At 39.5% G+C, this 21,270-nt stretch overlaps 1 long non-coding RNA gene across 2 annotated transcripts; it reads right to left on the reverse strand.

Moving 5' to 3' along the window:
• Window positions 1-6,636: 6,636 nt before the first annotated feature.
• On the reverse strand, window positions 6,637-21,183 carry LOC124904498 (uncharacterized). Of its 2 annotated transcripts, none has more exons than XR_007066848.1 (2): window positions 21,001-21,183; window positions 6,637-6,833 (listed from the first exon to the last, which is right to left on the reverse strand). It is a non-coding gene; the product is annotated as an uncharacterized LOC124904498 (long non-coding RNA). The 2 variants fall into 2 exon arrangements; XR_007066847.1 differs by lacking the exon at window positions 6,637-6,833 and adding an exon at window positions 20,723-20,834.
• Between the last annotated feature and the right edge of the window lie 87 nt (window positions 21,184-21,270).

Below are 21,270 nucleotides of genomic sequence, written 5' to 3' on the forward strand. Positions count from 1 at the left end.
GAAGGGCTTGGGTTTACTATCTGGTTTGCATGGTTTTGTTGGATCATTAGCTGTTGTCATGTAGATAAGAGGCTCACATGTCATTACACATTTGTCCAAATCCATAGACTGTACAACACCAAGAATCAACCCTAATATAAACTGTGGACTTTGAGTAATAATGATACGTCCATGTAGGTTCATTGATTGGAACTAATGTACCACTCTGGTGGAGAATGTTGATAATAAGGAAGGCTATGGATGTATAGGGGCAGGGAATACATGGAAACTCTCTGTAACTTCTGCTCAATTTTGCTGTGTACCTAAAACTACTCTAAAAAGTAAAGCTTATTTTCCTTTTGCTACGCAAAGCAAAGAAAAAGTTATATAAAACTCTACATAAGTGATAACACTGATGCTTCTCATTTAAAATTTTAAAAATCTTTGGAAATTTTATATAATTCAATATATGAGGCCTTTCCTAATTCATGTTTTTTAAAAATAATGGCTATATGATATTTTTAACATAATGAATTCTTTTCATCAAGCCTCAAATAGGGGCGCCAAAATACTTCCCATTTATCCCAGGATGACATAGACATATCACTGTTTTCTATTTGTGCTCAGATTGAAAACAGTTGAAGTATTTGGGGGAAGAAAGAAATCCAGACCCAAAGGAATACACCATTTCATAAATACAGAATTAACTGATTTTGTTAACTGAATAAAGCAAATATGATTCAAGTAGAAATGCATGTAGGTAGCCAGCAAATGGCTACAGATCTACAGAGTATCATCTGTTTTTTTAATATAAAATTTGAGTTATTTTAATGAACTGAACTCTCACTCATACATAAAATGCCTTTCTCAGGATTCGGAACTCTGGGTTTTTACACTCTCTTTCTCCTTGCTAATTCAAATGCAAGAAAGGTACATTCCTCCGACATCTTGCAGAACTCCTTAGGGCATCGGAATCACAGCAGGTCAAATGGCAAATGCAGAAGCCAGAGGCAGAAGGAAGATGGGTGTGTTCAGTGGCCTGTCAGAAGGCAGGTGGCTGATTGTCTCAGGGATTAGCAGGGAGTGAAATGAGCCCACGGAGGTGGTAGGGGCCAGTAATAAGGGTTCTTGAATGTCACCTTAAGAATTCTGAAAGTGATGAGAAGGGCTTCAAAGTCATGCAGGCAGATGAGCCCTCAAAATTGGGGTTTAGCCTAGAAGGGTTCTTGGCTTTGCCCAGGAAAGAATTCAAGGGCAAGCCGGTGGTGTTAGACAGCAACTTGTACTGAAGTGGCAGTGTACAGCAGCAACAGAGGTATTGCTCCTTGCAGAGCAGGTCTACTCCACAGGCAGTGTGCCCAGAATAGCAGCTCAGAGGCAGGGCTGCAGTCATATTTATACCTATTTTTAATTATATGCAAATTAAAGGGTGGTTTATGCAAAATTTCTAGGATAAGGGTAGTAACTTCTGGGTTGTCAGGTCATTGCCATGGAAAAGTTTGGTAGCCGCTGGGCGTTGCCATGGCAATGGTAACTTGATGCACTGGTGGGGTTCTTATGGATAGCTGCTTCCACCTGGGTCCTGTTTTAGCTAGTCCTCCATCTGGTCCAGTGTGTGAGTCCCCACCTCCAGAGTAGATTCCCACCTATTATCTTAAAAGGGATAGTTCCAGGGGGTTACAAGATAACATTTGACTTTTAGATTAAAAACAGGTTGTTCTCCTTCATCATATAGTCCTCAGATGGTGATTTCAGTGTTAGAGGACTGGGTCGCTTGAGGTTGCTATAGTTGATTGTTAGAATACTGGGAGTAAGGAGGTATTTAGTGGGCCAGTGAGGAAAAAGTAAGACCCTAGTAACAGAATATGGCTAGTTGAAGGCTTTTTTTCCTTACAAACACAACTCCCAGCTCTCTTTCTTGTATGTAGGGTGTATCTGTAGATTGGTATCTTGGCCAGTTTCTAGTGCCCGCAGAGAAACATAGCTCTGCCAGCACCTTGATCTTGGACTTCAAGCTTCCAGAATTGTGAGACAGTAACTTTCTGCTGTTTAAGTCCCCAGTTTGTAGGACTTTGTTATGGCAGCCCTAACAGATTAATACAGTGACAGCAAACCACAGTACTATTTGCAGTATCTAGAACTTCATCATCAATATAAATCACGGATATTTTCAAAAAATGTTCCAGGGGTTACAGATATTTCAAAATATCATTTATGAGTATCAGTACTTTGAAATCACAGTTAATAAACCACTGCTAAATCATATTATTTAAGGTGTTAATAAAGGAGTGCATATATTTTATACCAAATACAATTAAGGCTACAGTGCTTACACATCATCCTAGTTTTAGTAAATGGTCTGCAAATACTTACTTTGCATCAGTAGATATCTGAGGCTTACTCTGGCACTCTATTCTTTTGTAATTCTTTATCAGGCTTGCTCTGACATTCTGTTCTTCACAATTCTTTATCAAAATCTCCTATATTTACCCCTGACAGTGTAGCTAGCCCATATGATTAGTCACAACCTTCAACATTCCTCAGTTAGTGAAGGTTAGATTAACCTTCAGTTTCACTACAGAACCACTGTTTGGGGCAGCTGCTCTGAGCCCAACTGCTAGGTGACACAGAAGAACAGGCTCAACTCCCTGACGTGGAGGAGCACCCTTCCCTGGAATGTGTCACAGTTTTTATCCATGGCTTGGTAATTGACACAAACACCGTAGCCTACTGTATACCCTGAATGAGGTGCCAGCAGCTGCCAGCTTTTGTTGATGTTTTGGAAGAGAGGATGCCTGTGGAAGCCTACTAGGAGTGATGCAGACTAGGGGGAGCTGTAGCTCAAACATGCACAGAGACAGTGGTGAGGAGCCACTCTTCCTGGAGGAAACTACAGAGATTCCCATACTAGAGATGGCAGGCAGGGATTAGGGGACTGGGAAATGGAGCAGAAATCAGGCTGATCAATGAAAGGACTCTCCACAGAGGCTTGATGCTGTGGTTCCCCTTCTCTACTCCAGCAAACATTAGTGGGGTAGAGATGCAGCACTGACTTTTCTGTAGACAGGGCCATCCTTAGGGCATGCAAGGCCCCAGCAAACTGGGTATGTGTGTGTGTGTGTGTGTGTGTGTGTGTGTGTGTATATTCTTTGTCTATGAAAACAATTTGATTTAAAAATGCATTACACAACTCATGGTCCCATGTGAGGTATAGTCATTTATGAATAAAAATTTTTTAATGAGTATCAAAAGACACTAATTTGTTCATTGCCTAATCATTCTACATGAAGATTCTTCATCGTGTCCAGGCACCATCTCTTCCTTTTTGGAGTCTAGATCCTCTGTGTTTTTTATTGTCAAATGTGCACAATGTGCTGTTCTTGGTTAATTTTATATCTTCTCCGACCAGACAAAAATGACAACACTGCTATTACAATGCATGGCCCTTTAGAACCTGTTTATACAAGTTGAAAGGATAGAGATTTTCTTGCCCTTCTGTTTTCCTAATACCATGTATTCATTATTAATTATATCATTTCCCACAGTGTTGATCATCTATTGTACCACCCATGAACAATGGCTTCCTTCCAATGACACTCAAAGGTTGCTTCTGTGCTTCATTGATAACCACAATTACAAATATTATCCAAGCGGGAAAAATCTAAATAATATTTCCTCTTCTAGTCTTGTTAAATTTACCATTTGGAATCTATAGTATGTCTTCATCTGAACTCTTTAGGCCATAATCAACACATGGCTAAAATGGGATTTCTTTCCATGGGGCCTGCATCCCTGCTTTCTACCCCTTGTACCCAGTGGGAGGTCAGATCTTATGAGGAGTGATAGAGCAGCTCCATCCCCACGAGAAATGTCCACCCATCTGCTAGCATGGCTTAAGATGAGCCCAGGAGAATGCCCCATTTCTATATGCATTGGAGGCAGGGCATTGAAAGGAGGGGCCCATTGGTGTTTTAGAAATCTCTGGGGAGAGAACAGCCTGATACATGGGCTGGAGCCAGTGGTGGGGGTGGGGTTGGGGGTGGGGGCTGGGAGGCTGAAAGAGGAGGTGACTGGCCTGGGTGCCATAGTAGGAGCACACAGTATAAAGGACATCTGTTACCACCCTCCCCATCCTCATGTGTCATAGTCCACAGGTGCCAGATGTAGCATCACAGTTGGAACACCAGGCAAGGGCTGTCACAAAGGCCCACACATATTTGCAAGCCCCAGAGTTGGGAATGAACAGTTGGTAGCCTAGAGCCCTGAACTGGAAACATGTAATAATCTCTAGTAAATCTAACGGAAAAAATAAAAGAATCTCAGTTGCTTTAATACAGCATAATAAAAAGAAATACCATTTCATAAAAACCATACCCCAAATAATTGGACTTGGTGGATTCAGGAGGAGCTGCCAAATGGAGTAGGGTCATTTCATCATATGTCAAAGTATCACTTGTAAGATGGCTGGGATAGACTGAATCCTGCCCCCCCAAAATTCATATGCTGAATCCTGAATCCTCAGTGTGATAGTATTTGGAGGTGGGGACTTTGTGAGGTGATGAGGCTTAGCTGAGTTCATGAGGGTGAGGTCCTCCTAATGGGATTAATGTCCTTATAAAAACAGACCTAAGAGCTTTCTCTCTCTCTCTCCCCGCTCCATGTGAGCACACAACCAGAAGGTGGCCGTCTGCAAGCCAGGCTGTCTGTCAATAGCTGTAGGATGCTTAGAACAGTTCCTGGCATGTAGTAAGCTATGTGTTTATTAAATTAAATATACACAAATAAAAGTAAAGCACCTTTGAACTGTCTTTTATGTGTATATTATGTTTAAATATTATTTTTTGATGACAGAAAACAGTTTAGATCTAATGCCTCAGGTGTTAGTTTTTCTCCTTTTCCTTTTCTATACTATTACTCGGTTGTTGTTAATTTATATATTATTTTTCTCTGCCTCGTAATTCATCAGTGATACTGAAGCCTTTATGTCATGGTTGGTTTCCCTTTCCTCATCCAAAAACTTACTAAAGAATAGAAAGCATTTATAATAAGAAAGAAAAATATTCATTAATAATTTAGATTTTCCTATACACCTATGTGTGTGTATTTTATTTTCCCTTTTGTCAGAGTGCAATTTTATCTGTAACCAATGATGTTATCACACAATTGAATAAATCAGCATTTTTATTTAGAAGACAACATTTTTCAAGTAGAGAAAAATTGATCCTCTGAATATTCATTTCTTTATCTTAAATAAATAATGGTTATCTTTGCAAACACAGTGATTGCAAGACATGTACTTCTGCTTTCTCTTAACCTAGAGTTTTGTTGTTGTTATTTCATTGGTTTTGTTTTGTTTCATAGATAGCACATTTAGAACATTAGGAATGTTATCTTGATTTTGTCCAAATCTTTGAAGGTCCTCCCAGATTGATATATGCAATTAGTGGTCTTTTTATACTATGCTAATACTATGGAAATTGCATTGCATTTGAGAGATATTATTGCCTTTGTATTTAAGAATTAAATATACAAACTGATCTTCATCAACTTTTTCTCTACGGAAACTGGGTTCTATTCAAAATATATCAGGGTTATTTTCAATATACTCATTTCCTATCTCAGGAAATATGGAGATGCCAAACTGCCTCTATGCCTAAAAAGCTACAGCCCCTGTTTAGGATGCCTGGATTTCACTTGGACTCCCCATTCCCCATCTTTTAATTCATGGGCTTTTATTTAGTGGGGAAGAACTCATTGCCTTTAGTGAAAGAATTTCACTAAAAGTGAAGCTTCAAATGCTTGGTCAAAGTGGAGGTTATAGCTATCGTTTTTTGTACAAGGAAAATAAAGAAAAGAGATAGTGTATTAGCCTGTTCTCACACTGCTATAAAGAAATACCCAAGACTAGGTAATTTATAAATGAAAGAGGTTTAATTGACTCACAGTTCCACATGGCTGGGGAGGCCTCAGGAAACTTACAATCATGGTAGAAGGGGAAGCAAGCACATTTCACATGGCGGCAGGAGAGAGAAGAAAAGTTCAGGTGAAACTGCCATTTATAAAACCATCAGATCTCATGATAACTCCATCGCTATCACAAGAACTGCATGGGGGAAACTGCCCCCATGATCCAATCACCTCCCAACAGGTCTCTCCCTTAACACCTGGAGATTACAATTCAAGATGAAATTTAGGCAGGGACACAAAGTCTAACCATATCAGATAGGAACCTGAACCACAGCAGGTAGAGGCTGGTCTTGGGAACTGTCCCATCCAGAGCTCCCTCACTTCCCTGAGTGAGCTTTGGGGAACCAGAACATGGCTTTGTATTTATCCACCAGAGGGTGGCCATGCCCTGTTACTGATGGAAGAATCTGGGGAGGTCAGAGATTTGCCTACAGAGCTGCAGGGCTCTGCTGCTGGTCACCCACGCTGCAAAACCCAAACCTTCCTCTACTGGGCCCTCAGTTTGCGCACATAAGGAAACCCATTGCCTTCCTTTAATCAGACTAGGGCTCTAACCTAGTGAACTATCAAAACAGAAACGTAGACCACTCTTCCTTAAGTTTGAAGGTGTGCAGTCTTCCTCCTGTCATTAAAAAAGAAAACCTGTGTCCTAAGGATCCAACCTTGGTAACAACCAGCAACAGCCACACATACGTGAAGTTCTCTTTATTTTCATGGCTCTGCAGATCTTCTCAAGCATGGACAGCTCATTGTCAATGATGTTCTGAGCAGGTTAGGGACAGAAGGCAGGGGGCGCTCCTCCTCCTGAACCACAGGTAGAGGTTAACTTTACCTCTGTTTGTCATTGTATATCCCCATCAGAGCTGAATTATATAGTCCCCAGGCAACTATTAATTTAAAAGAGACAAGGAATATTTAATTCTCCGAATAAGAATCCAACAAAGCAGGGCCGGGTGCGGTGGCTCACGCCCGTAATCCCAGCACTTTGGGAGGCTGAGGCGAGTGGATCACGAGGTCAGCAGTTCGAGACCAGCCTGACCAACATGGTGAAACCCTGTCTCTACTAAAAATACAAAAAAATAGCTGGGCGTGGTGGCGGGCACCTGTAATCCCAGCTACTTGGGAGGCTGAGGCAGGAGAATCACTTGAAACCAGAAGGCGGAGGTTGCAGTGAGCCGAGATTGCACCACTGAACTCTAGCCTGGGCAACAAGAGCAAAACTCCGTCTCAGATTAAAAAAAAAAAAAAAAAGAATCCAACAAAGCTATGGATTTTATCTTATCCTTTTTGTTTGTTTTTGTTTTGAGTCAGATTCTCACTCTAACCCAGGCTGGAGTGCGATGTTGCGATTTCGGCTCACTGCAACCTCCACCTCCCAGGTTCAAATGATTCTCTCGCCTCAGCTTCCCGAGTAGCTGGGACTAGAGACGCCTGCCACCATGCCCAGCTAATTTTTGTATTTTTAGTAGAGACGGGGTTTCACCATGTTGGCCAGGCTGGTCTCAAACTCCTGATCCCAAGCGATCCTCCCGCCTTGGCCTCTTAAAGTGCTGGGATTACAGGCATGAGCCACCGCACTGGGCCTTATTTTATCCTTTGAAAATGAGAAAGAAAAATCTAAAGCTTTTCCTTAAATCTAAGACCCGCAAGACTTATATCTTTGATGAAACAGATATGTGAATTTAAATATTTTATCCAGGGCTAAAAGTATTAAAACTACCAATCAGAAACCCATATTTTCAGGAGACAGGTTGCCAACGATGGGATGACTTTTACTCAATAGTGGTTCTGAGTGTTTGTAGGAGGAACCGGGAGAAACACATTTTAACCAGGCTAGCATACAGTTAAGCAGCCACTGCAGGCTTTCCCTTACTGGAAGTCCCACTCAGAGAAAAAGGCCTTTGCGCTAAGTTTAGGTAATTTGCAATGAGACAATATGCCACACTGCTACCAAGGAAACAATGATTTATTGTAGGGAAAAAATTCAAATCAAAACAATAGAACTATTCATTGTGGAAAAATTATTAAAACAAAAACCTCTGTGTTATGTTTAGGTTTCAGGAAAAATAGTAATCTTCTCGATTTATAACTTCTGATGCCTCAGAAAGAGGAACAAGTAATAATTGTTCATCTTTACTATGGGAAGTACAGGAATTTTACTAAATTTGAGAGTTCTGTCATTAATTTTTAAGACTACTTATTGTTTTATATCTTTAATTCCTTAAAACAAGATGTCTCAAACTGTAAAATTCAGCATAAAGGGTACTGATATATATTTCATAATAGATAAGCCAAGAGTGAAATAATACAAAAACAGATACAGTGCTATATGAAAACTTAATCTAGGATGAACATAATATCTCAATTTATTAGAAATTAATGTTGTATTTTAAAAATGAGGCCAGCATAAATGTATACAGTTTTGGAAGAAAGATTGCTGCACACACCATTTGTATAAGGAAAATTCAGGTGGACTATATACTAAAACTTAAATACACATATATGATTTTATTCCCTTTTGTGTGTATCACAGTAAAAATTGGGAATAACAATTGGATAAACTTCAACATAATAAAACTCAGAAAATATAAAGAAAAATAATAATGTAATATTAAAAATTATGTGGCAAAAGTAAATGTAAGCCAGAGAGAAAATATTTGCAACTGATTAATAGTCAATATAAAATGAATTCTACAAACTGAAAAGAAAAAGACTGTCAAATAAAAAATTGGACAAAAATGAAGCAATAGACAATTACAGAGGGAAAATTGCCTATAGCTAACAAATATATGGAAAGAAGTTTAACCTTACAGGCATTTAGAGATATGAAAATAGAAAATTATAAATTAGTCTCTATTAATCAGATTGGCAAAATTTTAAGCATTCAAAGTTGAAAAGATTTTGGTAAAACAAAGGTATACATCAGTGGTAGAGGTATGAATTTCTACAATGGAAAGTAATTGGAAAGTAATCTGGCAGTTTCTGATAACATTTAAGTATATATAATGCTTAACCTATAAATCTCACTTTTATGATACACATTCTATAAAAATATAGATACATATAAGTGTACACATACATATATGCATGATATAGTCTGGATATTTGTCCCCACCCAAATCACGTATTGAATTATAATCTCTGATGTTGGAGATGGGACCTGGAGGGAGGTGACTGAATCATGGAGCCGGATTTCTCAGGCATGGTTTAGCACCATCCACTTGGTAGTGTTCTCATGATAGTGAGTGAGTTTTCATTAGATCTGTCCATTTAAAAGTGCATGGCACCACCCCACCACCACTCTCCCTTTTGCTCCTGCTTTTGCCACGTGACATGTCTTTTCCCCCTTTGCCTTCCACCATGATTGGAAGCTTCCTGAGGCCTCTCCAGAAGCAGATACGCTATGCTTCTTGTACAGCTTGCAGAACCATAAACCAATTAAACCTCTTTTCTTATAAATTACCCAGTCTCAGGTATTTCTTTATAGCAATGAAAGAATGACCTAACATAGTACATATATAAGTACATCATCACATATATAAAACATTTTCATTGTAGACAATAAACATATAAATAATAAAGGAAATTGTCCCTAGTTTGAAGATAACCTTGAATCTATAGAGTGAATAGGGTCACAGACTTTCAGACAGAATTGATAAAGCAAATACATCTACCTAGGATTATTCTGGAAAAAAAAATCTCTGAATTCAGAGGCAGAAAGTTGTACTTTATAGAAGTTTTCGGTTACTAGGTTTATTAGATCTTTTCATGTTCCTTAATAGAAAATACATTCTTCACACTATTCTAAAAACTATATATATACTTTTTTACATTATTTTGCTTTTATAACTTACTGTCTTCTGCTACCCAGTTCCAGAGATTTGAGGTATAAATACGCCATCTAGAAGGCACTTGGAACCTTCACAGCTGACAATAGTTCACATTTCTGAAATACTAAAAATTCAAGCAAGTGTATCAAAATATCAAAGAAAGTTATCACATTGTATTGCTAATGAATATGTACTTTTTCATATATGGTTATTGGAGGGTAAGGTATTTTTTTCTTTTAAACAGCTAAGTGGACTTTGATCAGTTATGGCTATGTCTCCATCTAGTGGTAGGTAAGTACTCTAAGGATTTGCACAGTAAGTGAGGCCATTGTCACACTGAAACAGCTGAGGTGCTGAATACATAGGAATTCTGTGGTTTTTATTGGGTACACATCATCAGGGTCACCACAATTTGTCTTTTTTTTTTCTTTTTGAGACAGAGTTTTGCTCTTGTCACCCAGGCTATAGTAGTGCAATGGTGCAATCTTGGCTCACTGCAACCTCCACCTCCCGGGTTCAAACAATTCTCTTGCTTCAGCCTCCTGAGTAGCTGGGATTACAGGCACCTGCCACCATGTCCAGCTAATTTTTGTATTTTTTTTTTTTTTTTTTTTTTAGTAGAGACGAGGGTTTCACCATGTTGGCCAGGCTGATCTCGAACTCCTGACTTCAGATGATCTGCCCGCCTCGGGCTCCCAAAATGCTGGGATTCGAAGTGCAAGCCACCACACCTGGCCTTGCTTTTAATACAGGATGAAATAATATTTTCTGCTGATGATAACTTGCATTTAAATTCCTACTTGCAAATTTAGTAACATCAAGTTTTTGAGGTATTCACAAAGTCTTTTCAAACATTAACTAAAATTCAAAAGTTTAAATATATATTAAAAAAACTAGTGGCCCTTATTTATGGATTAGTTAGCTACATAGGCCTCTTATCTGTTCTTCCTGAACTTCAGAGCCAAGACTTCTTATCCACACTTATTTATAGCCCTCAGACCTTTTTAAATATGAAGTCCCAGGTATAACATTTATATACCTTTGTGATGACTCTCCATTTACTAACTGAACCTTTTGAGCCTTCATTCTGTCATCTGTAACAATGTCAATAAACACTTCACAAACCTATAATACTTTCTGCATTTATATACATTGTCTCATGTAATCCTTCCCACCACCCCCTGAGGGGGATAGAGAAAGTGTTTACTGTCTCTATCTTATGATGAGGAAGATGTAGTTCAAAGAGATCTTATAACTCATCCAAACTCAATAAACTGACAAATGGCAGAGCTAGAAATTTATATTAGATTTCTTGATTCCAAGTTCAATGTTCTTTGTAAGATTTGCCCCATTTACAACTATGATGATTAAGGGAGCTAATGTTTGTATAAATGCTTAAGTCCAATAGAACCATAATTTATTGTAAAATTACATAATAAAGATAATGAGGTCCCTGAATGTGAGACACTTATGGGGAGATCAGAGAATCCTTCATAAAAGCATATATATCAGGCTGAATTTAGCTGACCCTCAAAATGAAAATTCTCCAGAAATCTGAAGCCTATATAATCTATTAGATATATATTTTTCTATCTTCCCACTCTCTGTGGCCATCTTCTTAAAACATTACTAGGTGAATTATTGCTAAGTTTTCTTACATAAATTAGATGAACAACAAGAAAAAAGCTACATAACTTAACAAACGTATGTCTTAGTAGCAAACAACAACAACAAACCCAAACTAACTGAATGCCTGTATGTGTTGGTTGTGTGTATAAGGCGCTGTACGTAAGAAGTGTGTATGTTGGGGCTGGAGTCTGCTATAAAGAACAGTAATGTCAGATTCTTTCCCTTGAAGTTTTTGTTTCCCCTTCTCCGCCACTTCCCTTTCCCATTTCACTCTATTCCCATCAAAAGGATTCTGACTTGCATAAAACGACAGAACCACAGGAATGGGAAAGGGAAATAAAAACGGAGTCACATTTTTTTGCTCCTGTTTCATGACATCTGCACAAGTCGCCTTCCAGTCTTTAATTTCAGTGGAACCTTTAAGTACTTGTTATATGTCTTTGTAGAAAAACAGATTTCGACCATATGCTCTATGCAGAAGGGAAGCTGAATTGCAACCTCAATTTCTCCTAATTTCTGCCTCCTGACCACCCCCTCCCCACCCAATCCATGAACATCTTTACAAGTATCAGAAGCAGGCCAGGCATAGTGGCTCATGCCTGTAATCCCAGCACTTTGGGAAACCAAGGTGGGAGAATTCCTTGAGGAGGGGAATTCAAGACCAGCCTGGACAACATAGAAAGACCCAACCCCCTCCGCCGCCGCCCCACCACAAGAAGTTTTTTCTTTTTCTTTTTCTTTCTTTCCTTCTTTTTTTTTTTAATTAGCCAGGCATGGTAGTGCGCATATGAGGTCCCAGCTACTGGGGAGGCTTAGGTAGGAGGATTGCTTGAGCCCAGGAGTTTGAGGTTAAAGTGAGTTGTGCCACTGTACTCCAGCCTGGGCAATAGAGTGAGACCCTGTCTCTAGAATAATAATAATAATAATAAGAAGAAGAAGAAGAAGAAGAAGAAGAAGAAGAAGAAGAAGAAGAAGAAGAAGAAGAAGAAGAAGAAGAAGAAAAAGAAAAAAAGAAGAAGCAAAACCCAAAGAGCTAATCTCATACTTGCTCTCTTTCTTTTCTGCCACTACAGAAAACAGAAGAGGACTAGAATTACTTGTGGTCCTAATAATCTAACCAGGCATACTCAAAACTAATCGCAAATGTTTCTTTTAGGATGTATACAAGGCCTAAAATTGACTTTGGAAACATTGAGTATCTTCCCTTCCCATCACAGGCAATAAACAAATGTGGGCTGGTGCACATCTTTTCCTGCCCCTGAAAAGGTTTTATTACCTCTGGACAAGTGATTTCCTAACCTGAGGTCAATATTATCTTAATCATATTTCACAGATAGGCCAATGCTTAGCATATTCTCCAAATCACAAGAAATTTTGAGTTGTACTTAGAAAAGACATTAGGTTGAGTGTCAGGAAATCAGATTCCAGCCCCAGCTGTCATTGGCAGATATGATCCTGGGTGGGTCATTTACCACTCAGGACCTTAATTCCCTCTCTTGAGAATTTAAGAACTTAAAGTAGAGAATCTCAAAGCTGTCTGCTAACATGACTATACTTTAAGCAAGAACTGGAAATGAGTTGCTGACCTTTCCTTCATAGTTCCTGGTAGTGAAATGAATCAATTCTATTGAGCAATCATTGCAGAAGAACCTGCTGTGAAGATAACTGATGCAAGCTTGTTAAAAGCTCTTCCAAGAGTGGATCCCACATTTCCCTTACATTTAACGTGTCATTTAACATAGTTAATCTTTGTTTTCTCAAGAGTGAAATGGATAAACACTCAACTTCAGAGGTGTTTTTTTCTGCCTCTTGAGAATCACAATTATCATTGCTGGTCTTCCTTTTTCTTTTTCTTAGTAAACTTTAATCTAGATTTTAAAGTTTCATGGAAATAGATATTTGGGTTCTTTCAGGTTTTTTTCTGATATACAATTCAAGTTTTTTCCTTTGAGGTACTCTTCTGGGCTCCCTGTCTGAAAGAAGAGTTGCCTATGGATAGAACGTTGCTCTCTGTCCTCAATTAGCCAACAAAGCCCATCAAGGCTGCCCTGCTCAGTGCTAAGGCCATCTCGCTCCCAAAACCTGCCCTCACCCCTTGCTACTTGTCCCTCCAGTGATCCTGGATCCTTTTGGAGAGAGGTTGTCCTAAGAGCCCAATAGAGGAATCAGGCACCCGGATCAGTTGTTTCCCTGCTGTGTTCCCTAAGTTAATGTCATGCTCTCCTACACCCACATTTTTGTCCCTCCACACTTTTACAAAAACTCTCAAAAACAATATCCAGAGTGCCATGGTTTCCAAATGATTTATTCCTTTGCAGAAGACCCCAAGAAGTCCCATCTTCTTCAGGGAAATCTGGGACAATCCAATTGCATAAATTTCCAGCTAGGGGTATCTAGGGATTTTCTTAAAGCAAGGAGTTATGAAGGGCTTCCAACTGCTCCTGAAGTTTCCAACTATGAGGCCAACCAGAGACTCTTTCAGTCCCACACTACATGAGCCCTCTGGGAGATACCCACTCCTTCTGGAGCCATAAGCAAGCAGGAACAGGTTTTAGGGCACTCACCAGCCCCCACCTCCTTCTCACAGAAGGGTCTTCCTGCCCCTGCATCCCACTCTACTGTGGCTTCAGATTCTGATACTGTCCCTGGGTGGTCCCATAACAGCCACCTGAGAGTACCACCATTCATTTCTCCTCCATTCCTACTCCCATTTATAAGGTTTTGTTTATTTTGCTGGTTGTTATATGTTTATTATATCAGTGTCAATACATCTTTGTATATCTGAATTAATTATAACAAATAAAATGGAAAAGGATTGGAACCACTTTATCATTTTCCACACTAGCTAATGAAAGCATTGCTTCTTCGAGGAGATACAACTTCTTACTGAGTTTTTCTAATGCTATATTTCTAATCAGATTAACAGAGAAAATAAAAAATAGCTGCTAGTCAAGAGATCATTTACACACTTGAATATCTAACAATTATCTTGAGGCAAAAAGGTAAAATTTTGTCTTAAGTTTCATTTTAAAGAAATTAAACTGGCCAGGTGCAGTGGCTCATGCCTGTAATCCCAGCACTTTGGGAGGCCGAGGCGGGCAGATCACCTGAGGTCGGGAGTTAAAGACCAGCCTGACCAACATGAAGAAACTCTGTCTCTACTAAAAATACAAAATTAGCTGGGAGTGGTGGCACACGCCTGTAATCCCAGCTACTCGGGAGGCTGAGGCAGGAGAATTGCTTGAACCTGGGTGGCGGAGGTTGCAGTGAGCCAAGATCGCACCATTGCACTCCAGCCTGGGCAACCAGAGTGAAACTCCGTCTCAAAAAAAAAAAAAAGAAAAAAGAAAAAAATTAATATCATTTCTTGTGTTCTTTTCAACAGATATTCATTCATAACTGTATTAGGCTGGGGTTCCATTAGGAGCCCTGGAGCGTACAAATTAAAATAGCATGCTCCATGCCAGTACTTTACAATCAAATAAGGATATAATAAATTGCTATACTAGCACTTGAAATTTACTTGGGAAACAAAGCATAACATAAATAATATATTCATGAAAAGTTAAAGACTAATGGGAGAAAGTACTTACAAACTATGCATCCAACAAAGTTCTAATATCCAGAATCTATAAGGAACTTAAACAGTTAAACAGGCAAAAAACAACCCCATTAAAATATGGACAAAGGACAAGAACAGATACTTCTCAAAAGAAGAAATACAAGGCCGGGTGCGGTGGCTCATGCCTGTAATCCCAGCACTTTGGGAGGCCAAGGCAGGCGGATCACGAGGTCAGGAGATCGAGACCATCCTGGCTAACACGTGAAACCCTGTCTCTACTAAAAATACAAAAAATTAGCCGGGCGTGGTGGCGGGCGCCTGTAGTCCCAGCTACTCGGGAGGCTGAGGCAGGAGAATGGCAGGAACCCGGCAGGCGGAGCTTGCAGTGAGCCGAGATCGCACCACTGCACTCCAGCCTGGGTGACAGAGCGAGACTCTGTCTCAAAAAAAAAAAAAAAAAAAAAAAAAAAAAGACATATAAGTGGCCAAGAAATGTATGAAACAATGCTCAACATCACTAATCAACAGAAAAATGAAAATCAAAACCATGATGAGATACCATCCCATACCTGTCAGAATGGCTATTATGAAAAACTCAAAAAACAACAGATGCTTGCAAGGCTGTGGAGAAAAGGGAAATCTTATACACTGTTGGTGGGAATGTAAATTGTTTCACCCACTGTGGAAAGCAGTTTGAAGAGTTCTCAAAAAACTTAAAACAGAACTACCATCTGACCCAGCAATCCCATTACTAGGTATATATCCAAAAGAAAATGCATAATCTGATCCTGCAACCCCATTACTTAGGTATATATATCCAAAAGAAAATAAATCATTCTACCAAAAGACATATGAACTTGTATATTTATCACCATGCTATTCACAATAGCGAAGACATGGAATCAACCTAAGTGTCCATCAATGGTGGATTGGATAAAGAAAATGTGGTGCATATACACCATGGAATACTACACAGCCATTAAAAAGAATGAAACCATGTTCTTTGCAACAACACAGATGCAGCTGGAAGCCATTATACTAAGCAAATTAATGCAGGAACAGAAAACCAAATACTGCATGTTCTCACATATAAGTGGGAGCTAAACATTGAGTACTCATGGACATAGACACTCGGGACATGGACATAGACACTCGGGACTAATAGAAGGGGGAAGGAGGCAAGGGTTGAAAAACTAACTGTTGAGTATTATGCTCACTATCTGGGTAATGGGATAATTCAAATCTAAGCATTCCATAATATACCCATGCAATAAAACTGCACATCCCTTGAATCTAAAATAAAAGTTAAAATTATTTGTAAAAAAGAAAAAAGAATGTAACCATTAACAATAAAAAAAGAAGTTAAAGACTATTGACACTTCCTGAAAATGTATGACTCGAGAAATACTATGTTGTACTTAACACTACATATAAGTACACATCAAGGCAACATCATGACAAGGCTGACTTTTGAAGCCATCTCATCCCACACAAAATAATTAGAAAAATGGATACAATGAATCCAAATTAATTTTTAAATGTATCACTGAAATATGTAGAATTATGTGTCAATTATAAATTTAAAAATTAATTTAAAAATACATAACTGAGATTGAAATTAAGAAAGAGAAATCCTGGGCCAGTTGTGATGGCTCACGCCTGTAATCCCAGCACTTTGGGAGGCTGAGGCAGGCAGAGTTCGAGACCAACCTGAGCAACTTTACAAAAAAATACAAAAAATTAGCAGGGCATGGTGGCACGTGCCTATAGTTTCAGTTACTTGGGAGGCTGAGGTAGGAGGATTGTTTGAGCCTGAGAGGTTAAGGCTGTGGTAAGCTGAGATCAGGCCACTGCACTCCATCCAGCCTGAGAGACAGGGTGAGACCCTGTCTCAAACACACACACACACACACACACACACACACACACACAGAGAGAGAAGGGGGGGAGAGAGAGAGATAGAGAGAGAGAGAGAGAAATCCTCGGGGAGAGGAAATAAATAGAATATTGAAAATCAATGTAGTGAGTAAGAGCTAAACCCAGTGACTTATGGAGGAGACAGAATGGGGTAAATCCCTAGGGGGAGGGCCATGATTTTAGCACATACCAGGGTTCTGGATTTGAGTCTAAAGTCCCATGCAACACTGGCACCTAGAAATGGGCTCTTTAATAAATCTGACAGCCAGTCCATAAAATGAAAATTAGAATACCCTTACCACTAAGACGATGAAGCAGCAAAGAAGCAAGTCAACTACTCTGTGCTATGGGAGAAAAAAAGACACAGGAAGCACATCTCTGAACCTTGCTAATGCTATTGTGTGAATTTACATTATCCTGTCTATGTGGAAAACCCCAACTGAGAAATTCTTATATAAATTGAAACTACTGGGCCCTTGGTAGAATGAAATGTGCCCCTTGTCACAAGAAACCTCCACAAACCAGTGCACTTGATGCCTGTGGAAAAAACTCCCACTGAAGATGAGTTCTTAGAAAAAATGTACAATCCTCAAGAGGAGACAAAGAACTAGGGAAGAGAGAGCTCTGGGATGCAATGAATTAGAGAAACCACATCTAAAGAAATACAGAGAATAGAAAAATACAAAAATGCTTTAAATTAAGGATATCTACAATATTCAAAGAGAAGAAAGGAGGAGAAATCATAATAGACAGACATATTGCAAAGGATAGGGCATATTTAAGAAAGAACACAACAGAAATTCTAAAAGTGAAAAATAGAGTAATTCACACTTCCACATCCAGACAGCATAATTAGAATCAGACTTTCCCTGCTATCATAAACAATTTAACTGGATAAAATATAAAGTGATTGTTTTCATACATTAATTGCCCCAACAATTGTGCTGCTTTCTTCATAGAGATGAGTTTTGGACCACAACCGAGACAGGGAAGGCCCAAGCAGAGCACAGTGGGCTCCTAGACTTTAAGAGATAGAGATCAAGGTTCAGGGAGTCTGAGGTGGCAGGACTTTCCTGGGGAAAGTACATAATAGAGCCAAAGACAGAAAGAGCTCCAGAAATCTGTCTAAGGGCCACCTCAAGTCATTGTGTAAGAGGGAGCACAGGACTGTGACCTTAGGAGAAGGAAAATAAACAAGGTGAGCTGCATGCATCACAGGAACAACTCGTTACCTACAGACAGTTACCAGGTTACAGCCCAGAGAGCCAGCAGTCTTGAGTTGAGTGGTCAGAGGCTGGGGTTTGGTGGACAAGGGCAGAAGATCAGAGAAGGAGGTGCTGCACAGAGACCTGCAGAGGGGTACTCTCAAGTCTTTGGTTGAGTATATCTACATATGTAGAGGAAGTTACCTGAGGCCAGAGACATAGTCACCAGGAAGACATAGGCAGAAAACTCTTGAAGCTCAACTAGGCTGGGAATATATGGTGTTCTCACTAGCTAGAGTGGAAAGGCCTTATAGCACACGGGGCATCAGGTAGAAAACTAAAGGGGTATTGTCTTAGTACTGAGGCTATGTTCACTCTAGACCAGGGGTGTCCAATCTTTTGGCTTCCCTGGGCCACATTGGAAGAAGAATTGTCTTGAGCCACACATAAAATACACTAACACTAACGATAGCTGATGAGCTATAAAAAAAAATAGCCAAAAAATTTACAAACTTATGTTGAGTTACATTCAAAGCCATCCTGGGCCACATGTGGTCCACGGGCCGTGGGTTGGACAAGCTTGCTCTAGACTAAAGGCTGTTCTGAATCTCTTTAACAAACTTCAGAACAGGGGAAAAAAGCTAACATTTAATATTTTTAAATTGTGGTAAAATATATATCACATAAAATTTAACATTTTAACCATCTTTAAGTATACAATTCTATGGCAATAAGAACATTCACCATGTTGTGAAACCATCACTGCTATCCATTTCCAGAACTTTTCCATTATCCCAAACAGAAATGCTACCCATTAAACAATAAGTCCCTGTTCCCACTGCCTCCATCCCCTGGTAACCTCTACTCTAGGTTCTGTCTCTATGAAGTTTCCTATTCCAGCTACCTCATGTAAGTGGAATCATACAGTATTTGTCTTTTTGTTTCTGGCTTATTTCACTCAGCATGTTTTCAAGGTCCATCCATGCTGTTGCATTTATCAGAATATCATTCTTTTTAAGGCTGAATAATATTCCATGGTACATATGTATCATATTTTAATCCACTATCTGTTTATGGAAATTTGAGTTGTTTCCACTTTTTGGCTATTGTGAAAAATGTTGCTATTAACATTGGTGTCCAAGTATCTGTTAGAGTTCCACTATCAATCCTTTTGAGTATATACCTAGAAGTGGAATTGCTGAATTATATGTTATTTCTGTGTCTAACTTTAACTTTTTGGGGAACTGCCAAACTGTTTTCCACAGCAGGTGCACCATTTCTAATTCCTATCAGCAGCACATAAGGGTTCCAGTTTCTCCACATCCTTTTAAAAAACGCAAGTTAATTTAAGTGTTTAAATTTTTCCTGTTCAGATAGTGAAAAATTCCATTTCATTCCTTCTTCTGCCCTGCACACCCAACCGAAGGCTGTGTGTCAAAGTCCAAGGGACTTATACAAAGTGTTGGGGCTTGAGCCCTTGGGTCCACAAAAGTTATCACTGACATGTTATTTTCTGCTGTCTGACACTTTCCGAGTTGGCAGGTTTCTGTGGCTTCTACACCACACGTGAGACATGAGACATTCTCATAAGGCAGAGGCACCCAGCTCCTGTCAGTTCTACTCTCCAGCTGTAGCATGCTGCCATTTCCCTCTGAGGTCATGCAAGACCTACCACCACCAAAGTCAATCTCAGGTCCCCTCTACTCTGAAATGCACAAGCCTGTCTCTCAACCCCTGGGAATCATTTCGTTCTCTGGAGGGAGTTTCACTGATCCCCTTCTGTTTCTTCCAAACTCCCAATTTCTCTTAAAAATTTTGAAAACATTTATACTCACAAATAAAAGACCGGAAATCTTGCAGATAACTTCTGCTTTTTTACCAACCTTATGCCTTCCCAGAAGTTATGAAGTGCAGTCACAGTGATCAATTGAATGAGGAAGGAAATGGGGGAAATTGGTAGGGCAGGGGTAAGGAGGTCATTGCACTCAAAATATCTAGACAAATAACAAGATTTTAAGCAAATACAAATATAAACACTTAGACATGCTCTGGGAGAAAATTGGAGAAATGTAGCAAGTATAAAGAAACAGAAATTATTCACAATCACACCACCTGAAGTTAACATTTTGATATATAGTCTTTTAATTTTTTCTCTAAGAACAGAGATGTGCCTTGAAACTTGAAGTTCAGGACAGGCGTGGTGATGCACATCTATAATCCTAGCACTCTGAGTGACCAAGGTGGGAGGATGGCTTAAGGCCAGGAGTTTGAGACCAGCCTAGGCAACATAGCAAGACCCTCTCTCCAAAGAAAATTTAAAAATTAGCCAGGTGTACTTGGCACATGCCTGTAGTCTCAGCTACTCAGGAGGATGAGGCAGGAGGATTGCTTGAGCACAGAAGTTTGAATTTGCAGTGAGCTACTGTAGCAGGACGAGCCGTGGACAAAACCTCTCAGACACCAGGTTAAGGAAGGATTTGGCTTTATTTTGCCAGGAGCTTCGGCAGACTCACGTCTCAACGTCCGGGAGCTTCGGCAGACTAGCGCCTCAAGAACCCAGCTCTCTGAAGAATTTATTTGGCCAGGAGCTTCATCAGACTCACGTCTCAAAAACCGAGCTCTCAGACAGTGGGTTAAGGAAGGATTTGGCTTTATTTGGCCGTGTCTGAGAGGTTTTGTCCGTGGCTTGTCCTGCTACACTATGATCATGCCACCACACTCCAGCCTGGGCAACAGAATGAGACCCTATCTCAAAAAAAAAAAAAAAAAAAAAATTCATACAATATATATTGCTTGTCTTTCAGAGTCACCCTTTCTTAAGTAATTAAAGAAAATATTTTATGTGATTTCCAGAAGCCCAGAGCCCTTTCTACTGGTTTTGAGTTTTCTGAATGAAAGAGAACATGCTTACCTTCTTCTGATTCCTCATTTTTTACCCACTGCTTTTGATTTTCTATAGATGTTCTATGCTGTCCAATACCAAGCCATAAGTTACATGTGGCTATTTAAATTTGAGCTAGTTAAGTCTAAATAAAATGGAAACTTCAGCTCCCAGTCACACTAGCCATATTTTAAATATTCAGTAGGCACATATGGCTAGTGGCTATTGTATTAGGTAGTACAGATCTAGAACACTTCATTGTTGTAGAAAGTTCTATTAAACAGTGTGTTCTAGCTGACC

Source organism: Homo sapiens, chromosome 1 (assembly GCF_000001405.40).
Source record: "Homo sapiens chromosome 1, GRCh38.p14 Primary Assembly".
Classification (NCBI taxonomy): domain Eukaryota; kingdom Metazoa; phylum Chordata; class Mammalia; order Primates; family Hominidae; genus Homo; species Homo sapiens.